The sequence below is a fragment of the Homo sapiens genome, chromosome 8 (assembly GCF_000001405.40).
Source record: "Homo sapiens chromosome 8, GRCh38.p14 Primary Assembly".
Classification (NCBI taxonomy): Eukaryota; Metazoa; Chordata; class Mammalia; order Primates; family Hominidae; genus Homo; species Homo sapiens.
In genome coordinates, this window is record NC_000008.11 from 3,573,236 (window position 1) to 3,590,011 (window position 16,776).

Here is a 16,776-nt window from a genome sequence, read left to right on the forward strand (position 1 = left end):
CTATATCTCTTTGCCCAAATTCATGCAACTACTAAGTGGCAGAGCTGGTTCTTAAAGTGATGATTGCAAGTACTGAAAAATAATAGTTTCTTGGTAAAAAACTGAGTAACAAACCATTGAGTAGCATATAGAAAAAACAAGGTTTGTACCACTGTAGTTGATGTCCCAGGGTACAACACGGCTCTAGCATACTGAGAAATACCAGAATCAAACTTGGAGGCTTTTGTCACAGCAAAGAGAGCCCAGAAATTCCTCAGTGTTTCAGAAAGCCTGCAACGCCCTGGAGTTTTACCCAGCTCTGCTCATTAAAGCTTGAATTTTTACATAAATAATAACTGAGATTTTAGAACTAAAATAAGCCAACCAAAACCAAAGGCATCTGTGATGAACACTTTACGGAATCTAAAATCAGAACATTTCTCTTTTAGAACTGGCAACCCAACAGCTTTGAGAGGAAACTATATAAATAAGATGGATATTTTGACAAAATGTAAAAATGAAGAGATGATCACTTAGACACAGAACTGTTAGTAATAACTCAATAATTGGTAAATAGTGGGGTTCAGTAAATTTAATATTACTATAAATATAATTATTTTAATATTACATAATTTAGTGAAATCCATACCTATAATAGTTTCCTCACAGTTTTTTTTAAGTGAAATCAATATGAAGATGTCTACCTTATTTTTTCTTCCTACTGGCAAGCATCTATATTGAACTTAAAAGGAGTTAAAAAAATTCATTTGATAGCCAATGAAACATGATTATGAGTATGATTTCTATCCTAAGATTTAAAATGTAGTAACATAATTGCAAACTATGTATGCAAACTTACAGAGAAATAACAGTATTACCCTCTATTACTACCCTGGAGGAAATATATATTTTACACAAAGTATTTAAGAAAGAGGAAAACACGCTCAGATGTTTAATTCTTGAAAAACGTATATAGCTTATGAGAAGAAACACATGAACTGTAGAAAACAATTCAAAAGACAGAATTGTTTTTTATCTTTTCTTGATATGGAGTCTTGCTCTGTCGCCCAGGCTGGAGTGCAGTGGCACGATCTTGGCCCACTTCAAGCTCTGCCTCCTGGGTTCAAGCGATTCCTGGGCCTCAGCCTCTCGAATAGCTGGGATGACAGGTGCCTGCCACCAAGCCCAGCTAATTTTTGTTCGTATTTTTTAGTAGAGATGGGGTTTCACCATGTTGGCCAGACTGGTTTTAGAACTCCTGACCTCAAGTGATCCACCCACTTTGGCCTCCCAAAGTGCTGGCATTACAGGCTTGAGCGACTGAGCCCGGCCAAAAGACAGTATTTTTGTGTCTGAGTATAGTAGGAGCATTTCTAACACTTAGTCATACTATGCATAAATACTGTGGTATTTAAGAAAGCTTGTAATATAGTGGATGAGACCTGAGTTGAAAAAGACATAAGAGAAAGCACTATGATACATAAAGGAGGAATGTAGACTTTCTCTCCAGAAGCACTAAATGGCACCACAGTGAGAATACTCACTTTGCATCTGAATCTCAGACTGCTCTGCAATGAATGTGGCATCTAGACACAGGATGCAGCTGGAACTTTTAAATTCAAACAGTAAAGTGTAAGCACGGATAGCATTTGCTGGGCTGTTTGCTTCAACAATAGATCCTATAAGAGTGCTGTGTGCATTAACCACAGGGGTTGGAGGCGGAGCCTTACCTTGTCCGGGTCGGTGGTGGTGATGACCCACACACAGTGTGCATTATCTTCATACTGAACCGGATAATTAGGGGAGGTAATGACGCCGCTGGGCCCACGCAGATTGGATCCACATGTTCTCGCTGGAAACACATAGAAACGACGTTATTTTCTACAACATTGTGTCAGTTTGGTAAAGACATAACATTTATGGGAAATTTCAAGTTAGCTATTATCTAATCACAGTAAAAAAAAAAAAAAAAATGGTGCATGGACTCCAACTGGGGCATGGACTCCAGTCAGCAAGTGGATTGCTCAGCCGGCAGGACTTTTGCTTGGTATCTGCAGTGTTACGCTGGGACACTTCATTTTTCCCAAAGGCCTATCCACTCACCAAAGGATCTAACAGATGACAGCCTCATGTGCAATGTCAATACCAAAGTAGCCCATTTCAAATCCCAGTGTGACTCAGAGTGTTCACGTAGGTGTCGTTGTTCAGAGAGTCTCCATACACACCTAATTGTGTGCGACTGCAGTAAGATAGAGGGAAAGGCACCGCCGAGTGCAATTCAACCAGAGTTACCATCTCAGCTACGTCTTACACTGTCTGACCTCCAATAAATTGTGTCTTTTCAACTTTAAAAAAGGGTTTTGGAGCAGATGATCTCCAAAGTCACTTTCGAGCTTTAGATTCTATTCTACAATAAACTATACCAATTTCTTTACAGCACAACGCAAATAGGAACTTAAAATTTATTGCAAGTTTAAAGAAAGAAAATAGGAATGGTGACTTTAAAAATAAAAAAAATCTTAAAGTTGAAATGAAAGACTGAGTGAAGCATAGAAATTGCATAATTCTATATATACAACTTAGTCTGGAATACAAAAATAATTTAATTGGCCTCCAGTTTATGAAAGGAGTTTTTTTTTTTTTAAATCAATACACATATTTTAGAAATATAATGTCAGCAGAGACTCTGGTTTTAACATTCATAATTTAAACTGGGTTTCAGAAAGGAGCAGAAGAAACTAATTTCACAAGAAGAAATTAATGTAAGAGAACTTCTGCTTCATTTTCCTAAGACATCCTATGACACAAACTGACAAAAATTTTTCATAGGAAGGATTAATCCTCGTCATAGCCCATCCTCTATTTTTTCATTCCTTGAGTTTAACCCTTTCTTCAAGTCAGTTATTATTCTAGCAGACTCAGCTACAAAACTCAGCACAACAGGACTTGTGACTTAACAAGGGCTACTTTGTGGGGGGACAAGAATTAACCACTGAACGCAGGTTTTCCAAAGGGACTCAAGAACCAGACATTTCTCTCTTCCATGCATGTCAAAATAATAATAATAATAATAATAATAATAATAATACAAATCATGGCTATTCCTCATAATGCTTCTTTAATCTGTAATCTACTGTGACTGTTCATCTGAGATCTCTCCTAAATGGTTATGCATTCCCTGACCTTAGGAACTGTCCTCTTTCTGCATTTACCTGTCCCTCCTCAGCACTGTGTACCACGCTGCAGTCCTAGACATGTGAAAATGGGACAACATAATTTGAGACAACTGTTCAGTTGCTTCCTACTTACTATGGAAATAATTAGCTAAAATTGACCTATTCTACATTGATAAGTGTGTTAAAATTAACTTTTAAAATGCTGGCATTTACTGTCCAAATGAAAAACAAACATGGGTAAAACATAACTGGGTTTCCGAAACTCAGTAGGTGTGTCATTGGTCTAAAGGTCACTGGACAAAGGACTGGATGAAAACATGGACCCCTCTTATACACTAATATCTCACTCTCTAATGAGTCTGTTTTAATGAGCTGTTCTCAGAGAGGATCATAAACTTTAGATGTGAAATCTTAAAGCCCTCTAATATTAGCATTATCCAACTAGAAAACCTTTGAAAAAAGTGATAATAAACTCTGAGTTGTAATACCTTTATGTTGCATTTTCCTACTTTTTAACACTTCATAATTAACAGCTGTTATAAACATCATGTAGCGTTCATAAATATTTGCTGATTTAATTGTGAAGCAATGTAACCATATTGGCATTGTCGGCCTGCATTTCAAGCTTTTAAAAAGTACATCTGAAAAACATCTGCAGGGGAAAGTCATTTGTTACAATCCTACTGACAAGGTGGGCTCAGCCTGTCATTGGCCCAGATGTTCCCAGCCGGAAAGATCCCTAAAGCTGGCCCCGCCCATGGCTTTGTGTCCTAGGTGCCTGCTGTGAAGCTGGCCCCTCACTTGGCTTATGAAAATTGGCTACCAGCATCTCATGAAATGCATCTCATGCATCATATTTTATTTGTGAAGTAACTTTTAATAAAATATGCATAGGAAGCCAGCCCGTCACCACATTTTCAGGCCTATGAAGTACCAAGTTTCACACAAAGCAAGTCATGGACCCAGTTCCTTCAGAGACATTCTTTACCAAAAGCTTTCAAATTAACCCATGTTTCTTTTTTTAATTTAGAAATCTCTGTCCGTCTTTGCAACATATTTTAATAAAAAATTGTTTATTTTTTGTCCATTTTTTTATTAAGCCATCAAAATGGTCATCTAAAATGAATATTGGGAATATTCAGACCAGAGATTTGTGTCTGATTTGTTCATTTGTTTAACTTTGCCAATTAGAACAATTTTTAGCATTTGATTGTTTCCTCAATAAATATTAGCATAGCTTCTGAATAGGTGTAACAGCCTTAAGTCACATAACCTAACTGTAATTATGTAATTCTAACCCTCCTTCTTAGGACATTGTTGAAAGCTTGTGCTACTTTCTCAATGTTTGCCTTTCTAAATCTTCTCCAACCTAATCATCTGCTTCTTTACCATCTGATGATGCGCCCCCTATTTGGCTCGTTATGATTTATTTAGTTATTGCCTCCTTGCATCTAGGGTTTTCTACTAGTCAGAATCACCCTCAGTTTTTCAAATGGCAACTACCGTAAGTTCAGCCGTGCATGTGTAGAGACCTTATTAAACAACCACCCTGTGGCTTGAGCTGTTGTGATTTCTACCAGCCGATGTCCACACGGTGGTGAACAGAGTGTCTGTTGTCCCCTAGCTGTCCTGCAGCTCACCTTATTACCTGGGCCAGGAAAGCTTACATTAATTTCTCTGAATTTCATAGTGGAGAGAGAAGAGCCAACATACAGTCCTCCATCTAGCACACCCACTGTCTTCCCTCCGTCAGCTTCCAGCACCAGAAGGGTATAATTTCTCATGTCTACCATATGTTACGCTTTAAAAAATTAGGTATTTGGAAAATAGAAAAAGAAGAGTTAGAGAAGAAAATGGGACAGGCTGAGAAAGAAGAGATGACCCAGGGCTGAGCTTTGTACTGAGTAGATCCAATGAGTGAGTGTCCTTGCTCAGGGAGCTTTGGTGATGATCTGTTAGGGATGCCTGCTGTCCTCCCTTAGAAATCCTCTAGTTAGACGGGAAGGGCACAGCAGCCTGCGAGGCAGGAAGAATAATGGGTGTCGAGAAAATCTCGGCAGTGCACGCAGGCCCTTGCAAAGGAAGCGGATGGCTGCCATTATCTTATCTAAAAACCATATCCGTGTTGCTTTGTCGCCTATTGGGGGGCTGTATTGAATACAAATTTATCTGATGTTCTGGGAGGTCACGAAACGATGCCATAAGTTCTGACTCAGAAACATAGACGTATGAAAGTTTATCACCTGCCTCTCTCTTCACTCATGGACTCTGCTGGTTTTTCACTTCATGCAAAGAACCGATTGGGCAGCTCCTCACACAGGAGACAGCCGAGGGAAACTGTTCTGACTGGGACTGGACAATTTCATAGCATCCCTGGAGGCAGGGAAACTTCTTTCCTTCCCTTAGCTTCTGTGCTAAACAGGCATTCAATTAGTCAACGAAGTATGTGATTAACCAGCATAATTAAGTAACTACAGTATACCAGTGCCAAGCCAGTTTTTAAAACAAGATCTCTCTCCGTAAGTTGCCATCGTGGATATCTGTAGACGCACGTTTACACAAACTATAGTAGAATGCCTCTTTCTACTCTTGCAAAGGCCTTGCCTCTTGGAAATATAACATCTAATAGAGAGTAAAATTCACCGACATGCTTGATAAAGGTACTTGGATAATAACTACGACCTAATGTACACCTGATGTTACTTGCTTGGCAGTTTTCCAGACCTGTAAACTCAAATTTCACTTACATCTTTTCTGTCTCCCCAGTAAAACTAGAATTCACAGAATGATAAATTGAAAATATAAAACGTCAGGAGGGAAAGTGGAAAGGGAGAAGAAAAATGACCAATTTTGGATGCCAATGCATGCCATTTTGACATTTATCCACTTAATCAATGAATATTTGTTAAGTATAAAATAGGTTTGTTTCATGCAATTTATCTTACTTAATAAAAGTAATAACTTATCTGTTTATTTAAATGCAATTCCAGGAAATCTTATGGTTCTATAGTAACTACTCAATTAATCAAATTACTTGAAAGAAGAAACATTCTAATTGATTAAATTTAAATTAGTGGGATTTCAGGAGTCGCATTAGAAGCTTTTTTTAAAGCAAATTTATAATTACATTGGATAGCCTATTTCTCATATGTTTTTAGGAGAAATCATTTTTATCAAGCACAAATTTTACGTCCAGATTGTGAACCATAATGAAGATAATATATCACAGAGGCTAAGAACTTCCTTTCCTTCACCACACCTGGTTCCAGGCCTGGCTTAGGTAGTCAGTAGCTGTCTCATCTTAACTTATTTAATTTTAAGCCACTCAGCTTATTTAATTAGAATAATCATAACTCCACTTATGATTGCTCTAAGGATTGAATAAAAGAAGACAATAAAGCATTTACTACATGGCCTGACATATCACAGCAAGGCCAGTGTGGTGGCTCACGCCTTTAATTTCAGCATTTTGGAAGGCTGAGGCGGGTGGATTACCTGAGGTCAGGAGTTTGAGACCAGCATGGCCAACATGGTGAAACCCTGTCTCTACGAAACATACAAAAATTAGCTGGGTGTGGTGGCAGGTGACTGTAATCCCAGCTACTCAGGAGGCTGAGGCAGAAGAATCCCTTGAGCTAGGGAGGTGGAAGTTGCAGCGAGCCAAGATAGCACCACTGTACTACAGCCTGTGTGACAGAGGGAGACTCTGTCTCAAAAAGAAAAGAAAATAAAAAGAAAGAAAAAAAGTATACATGCAGTGCTCATCATGAGTTGAACACTGAGGGTATGGCGGAGAGAGAACAAAACTAAGTTTCTTGCCTTCAGCAGGAAACTAACAAACACATGGACATATAATGTCAGAAGGAGAAAACTGCTTTGAAGAAAGGCAGATAAAAGATTTGTAAAGTGAGGGAAAAGGCCTGCTCTGTAAGAAGTGGTTTTGGAAGGACGTGGGTTCAGATGGCATTTGACGAACGGCATAAATGGACAGTCACAGGGATACCTGGGGGGAGGCGGATACTCCAGAGAGGGGAAACCAAATGCAAGAATCCTAGGAGAGAAACACCCCTGGCAAGCTCTAGGAATGTAAATAGCACCAACTTAAGGTTAGCTTTCAGGTTCTTTGATGTCAATAGAGTATGAGAGTAGTATAAGATACAAAACTATATTATTGCCAATAACTTAGTAAAAATAATAAGGAGAAAAATATATTTTCTCCCAGGTGACCTTCAGGTAAAAAGTATAAAGCTTCAGGAGTCAGGAAACAGCAGCAGAAATTTCTCCAAATTCACAGGAATTAAAAATTAACCGTGTGTTCTTCTGTCTAAATCTCTGAGACAGTGGTTACCTGATCAAATACACAAAATATTATCCTGACACTGGATCTATAACCTGGTATAAAGAAGAGTCATCTTTCGGGGTAAATGATCTTCTTATTACTCTTTAAAAGGTCATTTCTACAAGGGCAGAAAACACCAATGGAAAAGAAAAAGCTGTAAAAGTTTTTGGTAAATGATGAGTTCACAAATTAAGAATAATTTTTAGCTAACCTCATCTGAAATTCCAACGCAATAATAACTTTATTCCCTGACTCTGCCTGGCTCCAATTAGCTCACAGGTAACCACAGTTACAACTGGCAATAATACTTTATTTCTCTTAGAGGGCTTTTCATCTCAGGGAGCAACTCAAAATATTAACTCTACAGATCAAAGTGCATTAGCATTAAAGAAGTTCTCTACATAAATCGCCCCTAAAGACTGATGGAATGAAGTACCAGCCTGAACATTTTACTTAAAAAAATAGAACGATATACTCTTCTCTCCACTTTGTTTGCTTATTTTAAAAATCTACTGCCAGTTAAAGATACTCATACAGTTTTAAACAGCTCGTAATGTCTTACCCTGCAAAAAATCATAATGGTTGTTTTCATATTCCTAAATGAAGTAAGCGTAATTCCAAACAAAATCACTTGTATAATTACTGAGCTATGACAACCATTCATCTGTTTGGTAACAGGAAGAAAAGGTAATGTTGCCCCCCGTTCTCAGAGCTAATTAGCTAATGTAAGCATTGGCTAACCACACCAGCCTCCAGATGGAAGGATCACTTCTGACTCACTGCAATTTATCGAATGCTTCCATCAGATATTCCTGCTCCAGAGAAGGCATGATCATTACTTCAGAGTTACAGTCCCTTCATGAAAATAGGAACCTTGAGAATCAGTCCTTCCTGGATGCACCTCGCTGGAATACCTTTATGCTCAGAATGGACCTGATGTTCAGACCAGGGGCATTTTATTGCATTTCATAGACGGTTGAGTTGAGAATATGTGGCAGAAACGATCATTATCAGGCCACCTTTAGAGGCTAAGAATGAATCAGGAAAATTCAAAACTATGATGCTGTCTTTTTTTTTTCCTTTTTAGTTTTTGAGATGAAGTTTTGCTCTTGTCACCCAGGCTGGAGTATAGTGGCACGATCTCTGCTTACTGCAACCGCCACCTTCGAGATTCAAGTGATTCTCCTGCCTCAGCCTCCCGAGTAGCTGGGATTATAGGCATGCACCAGCATGTCTAGCTAACTCTGCAGAGACAGAGTTTCACTATGTTGGCCAGGTTGGTCTTGAACTCCTGACCTCAGGTGATCTGCCTGCCTTGGCCTCCCAAAGGGCTGGGATTACAGGCGTGAGCCACCGCGCTGGCCAATGCTGTCTTTTCTGATACTATTTTTTGTGGTAATGGAAGAGTGACAAATGAACTTGGAAAATGGTCCCTGCTGTACCGAACGTGTCAACAGCAAAGAACGATTCCCTGTAGTCTGTTTTAGGTAGGATTTATCCATTTTCCTGGACACTGTAGATATATAACGTTATCTTTTTATAAAAAGTTATAAAAGCTCCACTTTTATAAATGTTTTTCACCTCTTCTCTAATGGATGAATCCATTATCGGAAGCAAATTGAGACGCTACTTAAAAAAGGGAATGGTGACATACTCAGGGTTCCTAAAAGTTGCCAACCTGAGGAACTTACGTATTTTAATTGAAGAAAGAGTGTTCTACAGAGGGATGCCAGCCAGGAAGTGGGGCACAACTCACTGGGCTCATTTCTCCTCTTCACAACTACAAGGGTGTTGATGGTTTTTCATAGTGAGGAAGAAAATCATAACTGTAAATGTCTAAACTTGCGCTGTCATATGTGGCAACTGCTAGCCACACGTGGCTACTGAGCACCTGAAATGCAGCTGGTCTGAGATGAGCTATGCTCTAAGTAGAAAATGCACACTGGATTTCCAAAACAAAGTATGAAAAAAAGAAAATATATAAAATATCTCATTATCATATTTGTATTAACTATATGTTAGCATGATACTATTTGGGAGTATTTGGGTTAAATAAAATGTTATTACAATTAAATTCACCTGTTTCTCTTTCCCTTTTTAGTCTAGCTACTAAATATTTCAAAATCACATACATAGTTTGGGAAATAAACACATACCTTTCCCAGTTACTCAATCCAGCACTAACTTAGGTGCTCCTGTGAAGGGATTTTGGAGGCATAATTAAACTACCTTATTAACTGACTAAGTTAAGGAGATTATTTTGTCTGGCCTTTACATAATCAGTTGGGAAGTCTTCAAAGAGGGCTTAGAATTTCCCTTACAGAGCAACTCCTGCCTGTGGACAGCAGCTTTGACCTCTTCCTGGGGAGCCTGGCCTCATCCCTATCTTTCCTTCCTAACAGCCTGTCTTTCAGAATTCAGATATAGTGCCAGCCCTACCAATCATGTGAGCCAGTTCCCTGATCTAAGCCCACACATTTCTCTCCATCCTAGTGGATTTGCTTCTCTGCTTGAATTTTTACTCACAGAGTCAACTGCTTGGACATGAGGTGTTGCTGAAGCAAATGTGGGCACAGCTTTGGAACCGGGTTGTGGGTCAGAGCTGCATGGTTTTGGGGAGTGTCATAGAGAAGGCCTCAGGTGCCTCGAATAGACTGCTAGTAGAAATCTATCTTGTAAGGATACTCTTGATGGGACTTGGAAAGAGCTAGAGATATTCCTGGAAACCGAAAGAGGTGGCAGAAGCTTAGCAGAAGTGGTTCTGTGATTAGGTAGGAAGCAGGGTGTTCAGCGACAAACACAGATGGACAGCTAAGGAGAGTTGCAGGCCATGTGTCCAAGAGGCCACTTGATTTCTTCTTGCTGCTGATACTAAAACATGATAGGAAAGACATAAACTGAGGGGAGGACTATCAAACAAACAGGAATCAGGGCTGGGTGATTTTGAAACTTCTCAGCCTCTGCAGATGGCAAAAGAGGCTGCCATTTGGAAGCTACAGCTGCACAAGCATTCTAGACAGGAAAGGCAGAGCGTGTGGCTGCGCAGCCATGCCCTGAAACCTCAGAGTGACTGTAAGGTCAGAACACAAGTATTAGGTCCCAGAAAGGATACTTTTCAAGAAATTGAGGGTTTCTTATCCATCTTATCAACTGATGCAACTAGATAGATAAGGAGCATTGTCCCTCTGAAGTGTCAGCAGGAGTCCAAGATGGAGAAACGATTATCTCAAAAATATGTGAGAGCATGGCCTTTGTCTAACTGAGTCAACACTAGTAAAACCCATCCACTATAAAAACACCTCCTTAGGAATTATTTCCAGCAGTATAAGTCATTATTTCAGACAAAAAATTAAGTTTATTACTTCAAATACATTTTTACTTCTTACTAAATTTATTAGAAGTAATAAACTTAATAAGAACTAATAAGAACTGAAGTACTATTCAATGTTGATCAAAGTATATCTAACTTAAGCAGAACGAGGGAATCATCAGTAAGAACAGAAGATTGACAAAGCCAGGCACTCTTTGCCTGTGGAGTTGAAAGGAAGAGGCAGAGTCTTGGCGATTACTAGTAACGTTCCAGAAAACTAAACCAAACACACCAAACAAGAGAGACCCTGCGAAAAAAGTGTTCTCTTCCAAAATATGATCAAGTGGGACACTTGAATTGACGAGAACAGGAAACCACAAAGAATCCTCTTCTAATTATCTCTAAGCGTGAGTAGCTGGGGGGTTGAGAAGGATGGGAGAAATGTCTCCACCTTCAGCCTGGATGGAGCAGCTGTTTCCTAAGTGATAAGCACCTCTGAGTGTGTGATATCTTTGGGATAGGATACTGAGAAAGGGCTTTGAGTTTAAGATGAGAGTCAGGGCCAAGAAAGGCAATGTCATAGGTAAACATATAAAATCAAATAATATAAAGGCAAATATTTAAGTTACTCTAAAATACTGATTTAAAAGTAACATTTAAAAGAATGCACATTTACTATTTGTCTAAAGTGAACTTTAAAAATAATGAAGCCTATTTCCCGGATATAAGAGCAAGAAAACTATTGAAGGATTTTTTTTTCCCCAAAGGAAAAATAATCCATGTGACTCGTTCCTCCTGTATAATTGGGAGGCTTGTGCATCACCAGCCCTAGTGGGAACATGAATTTTAGTACAGCTCTTTGAAGTGCTTAAGGGTCTTATGTTAGAATTGAAAAATGCACAATCAAAGTTGTCTAGTGACAAAAAGAAGGGGACAGCCATGTGCATTTCCTGGACCAGAGATTGCTGACTCTCCTGAAGGGTCTCCATTTAAGAGGTGACAACTCGCTATCAGCTGGGCCATACACCCTCCCTCCCCTTCCGGTGGGGCGGGTCCTGCAAAGCTGTATCCCCTGCATGTGACTGACCCCTAGTGGTTATAGGGACCAGGTACAATACAGTAAATGGGGCCAAAGAGTATTCTTAGCTTAGAGGACGATAGTGACGTGTTTGGTAACTAGTTATTTTCACAGGCTGCAATGACACTATGCTTGTTGTACCTTTTTTAATAACTAAAATGCTTAAAAGTTTAAAATGTATAAGTCCATTCACGTGAAAAGACTATATGGAAAGATAAGGTATTCTTACATATGAAGCTTTCCTTTTTAGTCAAACTAGGGCTTTTTCTCCCAAAACTACCAGTTTACATAAATCATTTTATGGCCAAAATTCAAAAACAAAACCTCCAAACCCAGCATTTCTTTAATTTTATTATTATTTTCATTTTAAAACAACCAAAATAATTTTCTGCTTTTCAATATGATTTCTGTAATTCTGGTAAGAATTTGTGTATACTTCATAGCAGTAAAAAATAAGTAATTTAACCTTTGCTGACTTCGTATGTTTTATTAGAAAATGATGATGACAATAATGATGAATATTTTACTCTGCTAACTATGTTAGAGATTAAAGATCATTTATTAATAAAATGATGATTTGCAATCAGGCTAACAATTCCTTTTATTACTTACATAATTAATACCTAAAAAATTCAACCTCACTGCAATAGGAAAGTGAACATTTTTAGGTTTGCGGGGTGCACAGAAACCTTTCCGGCAGGTCCAGCTGTGGGACATATATTCACACACATGCACACTGTTTGTGTGTATTGATAGATACCAAGTTATACTCAGTATGTGTGGATTTGCTCACATCTATCCTCAAATGTAAAACACAAAAATATTCTTGGAAATGTTAGCCTCTCAGCAAATTCCAAGGAAAGGTTTCTGTTATTACCCACATCACTATGAAAACATACATTACTACCGAATTCTACTCTTCCCATACACAATGCTTCATGCTTAAATTGTATATTCATAAAAATGCCAACCTTAAAGAAAGAGATAATCCAGGCTTTACCCACCGCAGGTGCCTTACCTCGGCAGATGGGCCTGTGGTCACTCCAAGCAGCGAGCGTCTCTGTAACTCTCTGACAGGTGATGCTTTTAGATCCCTGGAGCACGTAATTGTCCTCACATGAAAACTGTACATTTGCACCAACCCTAAGCCGTTAAAAAAGAAAAAAAAAAACCCAAATTATTTACAGAAGACTTCTTTAGGAAAAAAAAAAAAATCAGCAAAATGGCTGCTACGATCTTGTTCAGTTAAAACAGCCTAAGACATTAAGCAACTCATTAGGTAGTATGTATAGAGGCAACCCTGTAATTTAGCAAAGGTTATAAAATCAAAAGACTTGGGTTCAGATTCCTGTTGTGCCAGCTTCAGAACTAAACAAACACATGAACCTTAACTTGTCATGACTAAGACAGAATAAAATAGCAAAAATGACTTCACTGAATAGTGTGGCTTTAATAAGAAAATAAATGTGAAGAAATTTTGTACCCTGAAAACAAGAGGAAGTTGGATGTCATTCATCGTGAATAAATATTTTACAAAAACAAGAAGTAAAAAAGTCTAGGTTAAGAAAATATGTCAGTAAAGACTGTATTTTGCTATCACACATGTTAATTATATTTAAAAGAAAGCTAGTGATATTTCAGAAATTCTTATAGGAACAGAATATTTTACTTTTCTTTTGTTTGTTTGTTTGTTTTGTTTTGAGACAGAGTCTCACACTGTCACCCAGGCTGGAGTGCAGTGGCACGACCTTGGCTCACTGCAACCTCCGCCTCCGGGGTTCAAGCTATTCTCCTGCCTCAGCCTCCTGAGTAGCTGGGACTACAGATGTGCACAACTAGGCCCGGCTAATTTTTGTATTTTTAGTAGAGACAGAGTTTCACCATGTTCGCCAGGCTGGTCTTCAACTCCTGACCTCAAGTGATTCACCTGCCTCAGCCTCTCAAAATGCTAGGATTACAGGCGTGAGCCACTGCACCCACCTGTGTTTTAGAAGAAAGCAATCCATCCAGCCTGGATTTAGAGAAAAAACTGCCCTGGCTCCAGAGCTGCATTTGCAAACATGGAGCTTTACGGTTGTAAACATTAACAAGACACTGTCACAGAACACAAACTGGACAGCTGCATTCAAAAGTGTGAGAGGCAGAGATCAGGTTTGAACACCACCCAGTTACTTCTTCTGAGCCTGGCTTCTGGCATTGAATTAAATGTAGGCTTATTTAACTCTCTGACAAGCGCATTGTTACAAGAGGAAATTCTACTCATGTTTTTAGTTTGAGAAACCACGGGTTGATGTTGAGGAAACAGAATTGAAATAAGGAGATGTGAAGGAAAAGAAGCACAGTTGTCAGTGTGGATGGATGAAGTTAATCATAGAGACAAGATAGGGGAAACATAAATAGATGCTTTCCTTTCTTGCTTAGTGGAAAAAAAATCCATATCTATAATATCAGAGTGAATATCATTCAAGTAACATCGCACCAGCATCCCCCACGGCATCTATGTAACACTCTCTAGGGATTGCCATGGATGTCGGCAACAGCCATCAAATCAGAGTCAAAGCAACTGGGAAAATTCTAGGTAAACAAAATTAAACACATTTCTTTTCTAAAGGGGCATCTCATCTTAATAAAACTTAATATGCAAAAGCTTATTTTAGAAAATAATGAAGAGAATTCAAAAGATGTAGACTTTTCCAGATTTATCTGTCTAGGAAGTTCTTTTTTTCACCAGGAATCTAGGACAACTAGAGTTCTATGGAACTAATTTTGAGAAACCCGGCATCATAAGAACATAATATGTACTAATTTGAAATGTGAAAAATACAAAAAAACAAAACCCAGTCGTGATTCCCATTTTCATTGCTAGCCATCACAGTTATTTAAGATATCTGTAATTGTAGACATATTCTGCCGCCATCGTTTTTGATCATTGGTCTGTGTTTAAACCTCATTTAAGAAATTTTCTTTTAAAAAATTGTTATATCTTTGTGTTTTCTATTCCAGGTATCAGTCTCCAGTTCTTTCTGTTTACCTACATTTTAATATTCATAGTTTTCATCATTCTTTCAATATATTGTCATTGAACATCTGCTATGTGTCACACTCTAAGTACCAAAGCGGCAGAAGTGAATAGCACAAAGCCACAATCTCATATAGATAACATAATAGTTAAGAAAGAAAAAAATAACCAAACCAAACATAAAGAAAACAAAAAGTCATAAAGCACCATGAAGAAAATAAATAAAATGACATGAGAGTCCTCGGGTAGGAAGAGTTGGAATTTCAGTGTGGCCACTTCTTCAATGATCCCCTTAACCTGAGGCACTGATATTCAGTGTAATATTCCAGGGGAGTTCAAACAGAAAGGGAGGGATGGGGGAAGCATTGCTTCAACTTAGCAAGCACTATATTTCAACGACTGCAGCACACCAATCCTTAGTCATGGAGGGCTCTCTGCTCCTATAACACCTCTATCTTTTTCATGCATTTTTTTCCTACATCCAACCAATATTCCTTTACGTATCAGTAGCAAATTGTATTCTGTTTTGAGAAAAACAATCAATAAGCCTAAACCCCCAAAGCGCAGACAACACAGGCAAAAACAGACAAACGAGATGACATCAAACTAAAACCCTTACGCACAGTAAAGGAAACAACAAACAGAGTGAAGAGACACCCTGCAGAATGGGAGAAGATGCTGGAGAACAAAATACCTGCTAATGCGTTCATATCCACAAATACAAAGAACTCAAACAAGGGAATCACAAGAAAACAAATCACCCATGTAACATATGGGCAAAGGACCTGAATAGACATTTCTTTAAAGAAGACATAAAAACGACCAACAGGTATATGGAAAGGTGCTCCGTGTCACTAATCATCAGGGAAATGCAAATTAAAACCACAGTGAGATATCAACTCACACCTGTTAAGATGGCTATTATCAAAAAGACAAAAAATAATAAGTGTTGGTGAGGATGTGGAGAAAAGGGAACCCTTGTACATTGTTGTTAGAAATGTAAAATATGTAAATTAGCATACTCATTATGGAAAATAGTATAGGGGTTGCTGAAAAAATTAAAAATAGAACTACTACATGATCTAGAATTTCACTTCTGATCCTATATCTGAAGGAAATGAAATCAATACGTTGAAGAGATATCTGCACTCTCATAGTCACTGCAGCGTTACTCACAATAGCCAAGTCGTGGAATCAATGCAGGGGTCCAACACTGGACTGAGAAATGGATAAAGAAAATGTGGTGTGTGTGTGTGTGTGTGTGTGTGTTCACGCGTGTGTGTACACAATGGAATACTATTCAGCCTTTTTTAAAAAAGAGGAAATCTTGCCATTTGTGACAACACAGTTGATCCTGGGGGAAATTATGCTAAGTAAAATGAACCAGGCACAGAAAGACAAGTACTGCATGATCTCATTTCTAGGTGAAATCTGGAAAAAATAGAACTCCCAGTAGCAGAGTGTGGGTATCAGGGGCTGGAGGAAGGAGAGGAAACAAATAATACAAAATTTCACTTAGGAGAAATAAGCTCAGGAGATCTACTACACAGCATGGTGACTGTAGTTAATAACAGCATATTGTATACTTGAAAATTGTCTGGAGAGATTTTGAAAGTTGTCACCATGAAAAATGACAAATATGTGAAGTAATGGGTATGTTAATTAGCTTGATTTGACCATTTCACAATGTATTCATATTCCAGACTCTCATGTACACCATAAATATCTACAGTTTTTCTCAATTTTAGAAAAGAAAATATCACCACTCTGACTAATTGATTTCATTTCTGGCAATATATGTTTATCATCCAAAATATAGGAAATTTCTGGTGATATTCTTCAGAAGACATTAGAGTGTCCAACAACAGGACTGTG

At 38.3% G+C, this 16,776-nt stretch overlaps 1 protein-coding gene across 3 annotated transcripts in view; it reads right to left on the reverse strand.

The window, feature by feature from the left end:
- CSMD1 (CUB and Sushi multiple domains 1) overlaps positions 1–16,776 on the reverse strand; it is a 2,059,554-nt gene that overhangs the window by 637,875 nt on the left and 1,404,903 nt on the right. For all 3 annotated transcript variants that reach the window (XM_011534752.3, NM_033225.6, XM_017013731.2), the window contains exons 9-10: positions 12,901–13,025; positions 1,710–1,831 (exon numbers count right to left, since the gene is read on the reverse strand). In XM_011534752.3, the coding sequence (XP_011533054.1) occupies positions 1,710–1,831; positions 12,901–13,025 (247 nt within the window). The remainder of the gene's footprint in view (positions 1–1,709; positions 1,832–12,900; positions 13,026–16,776) is intronic.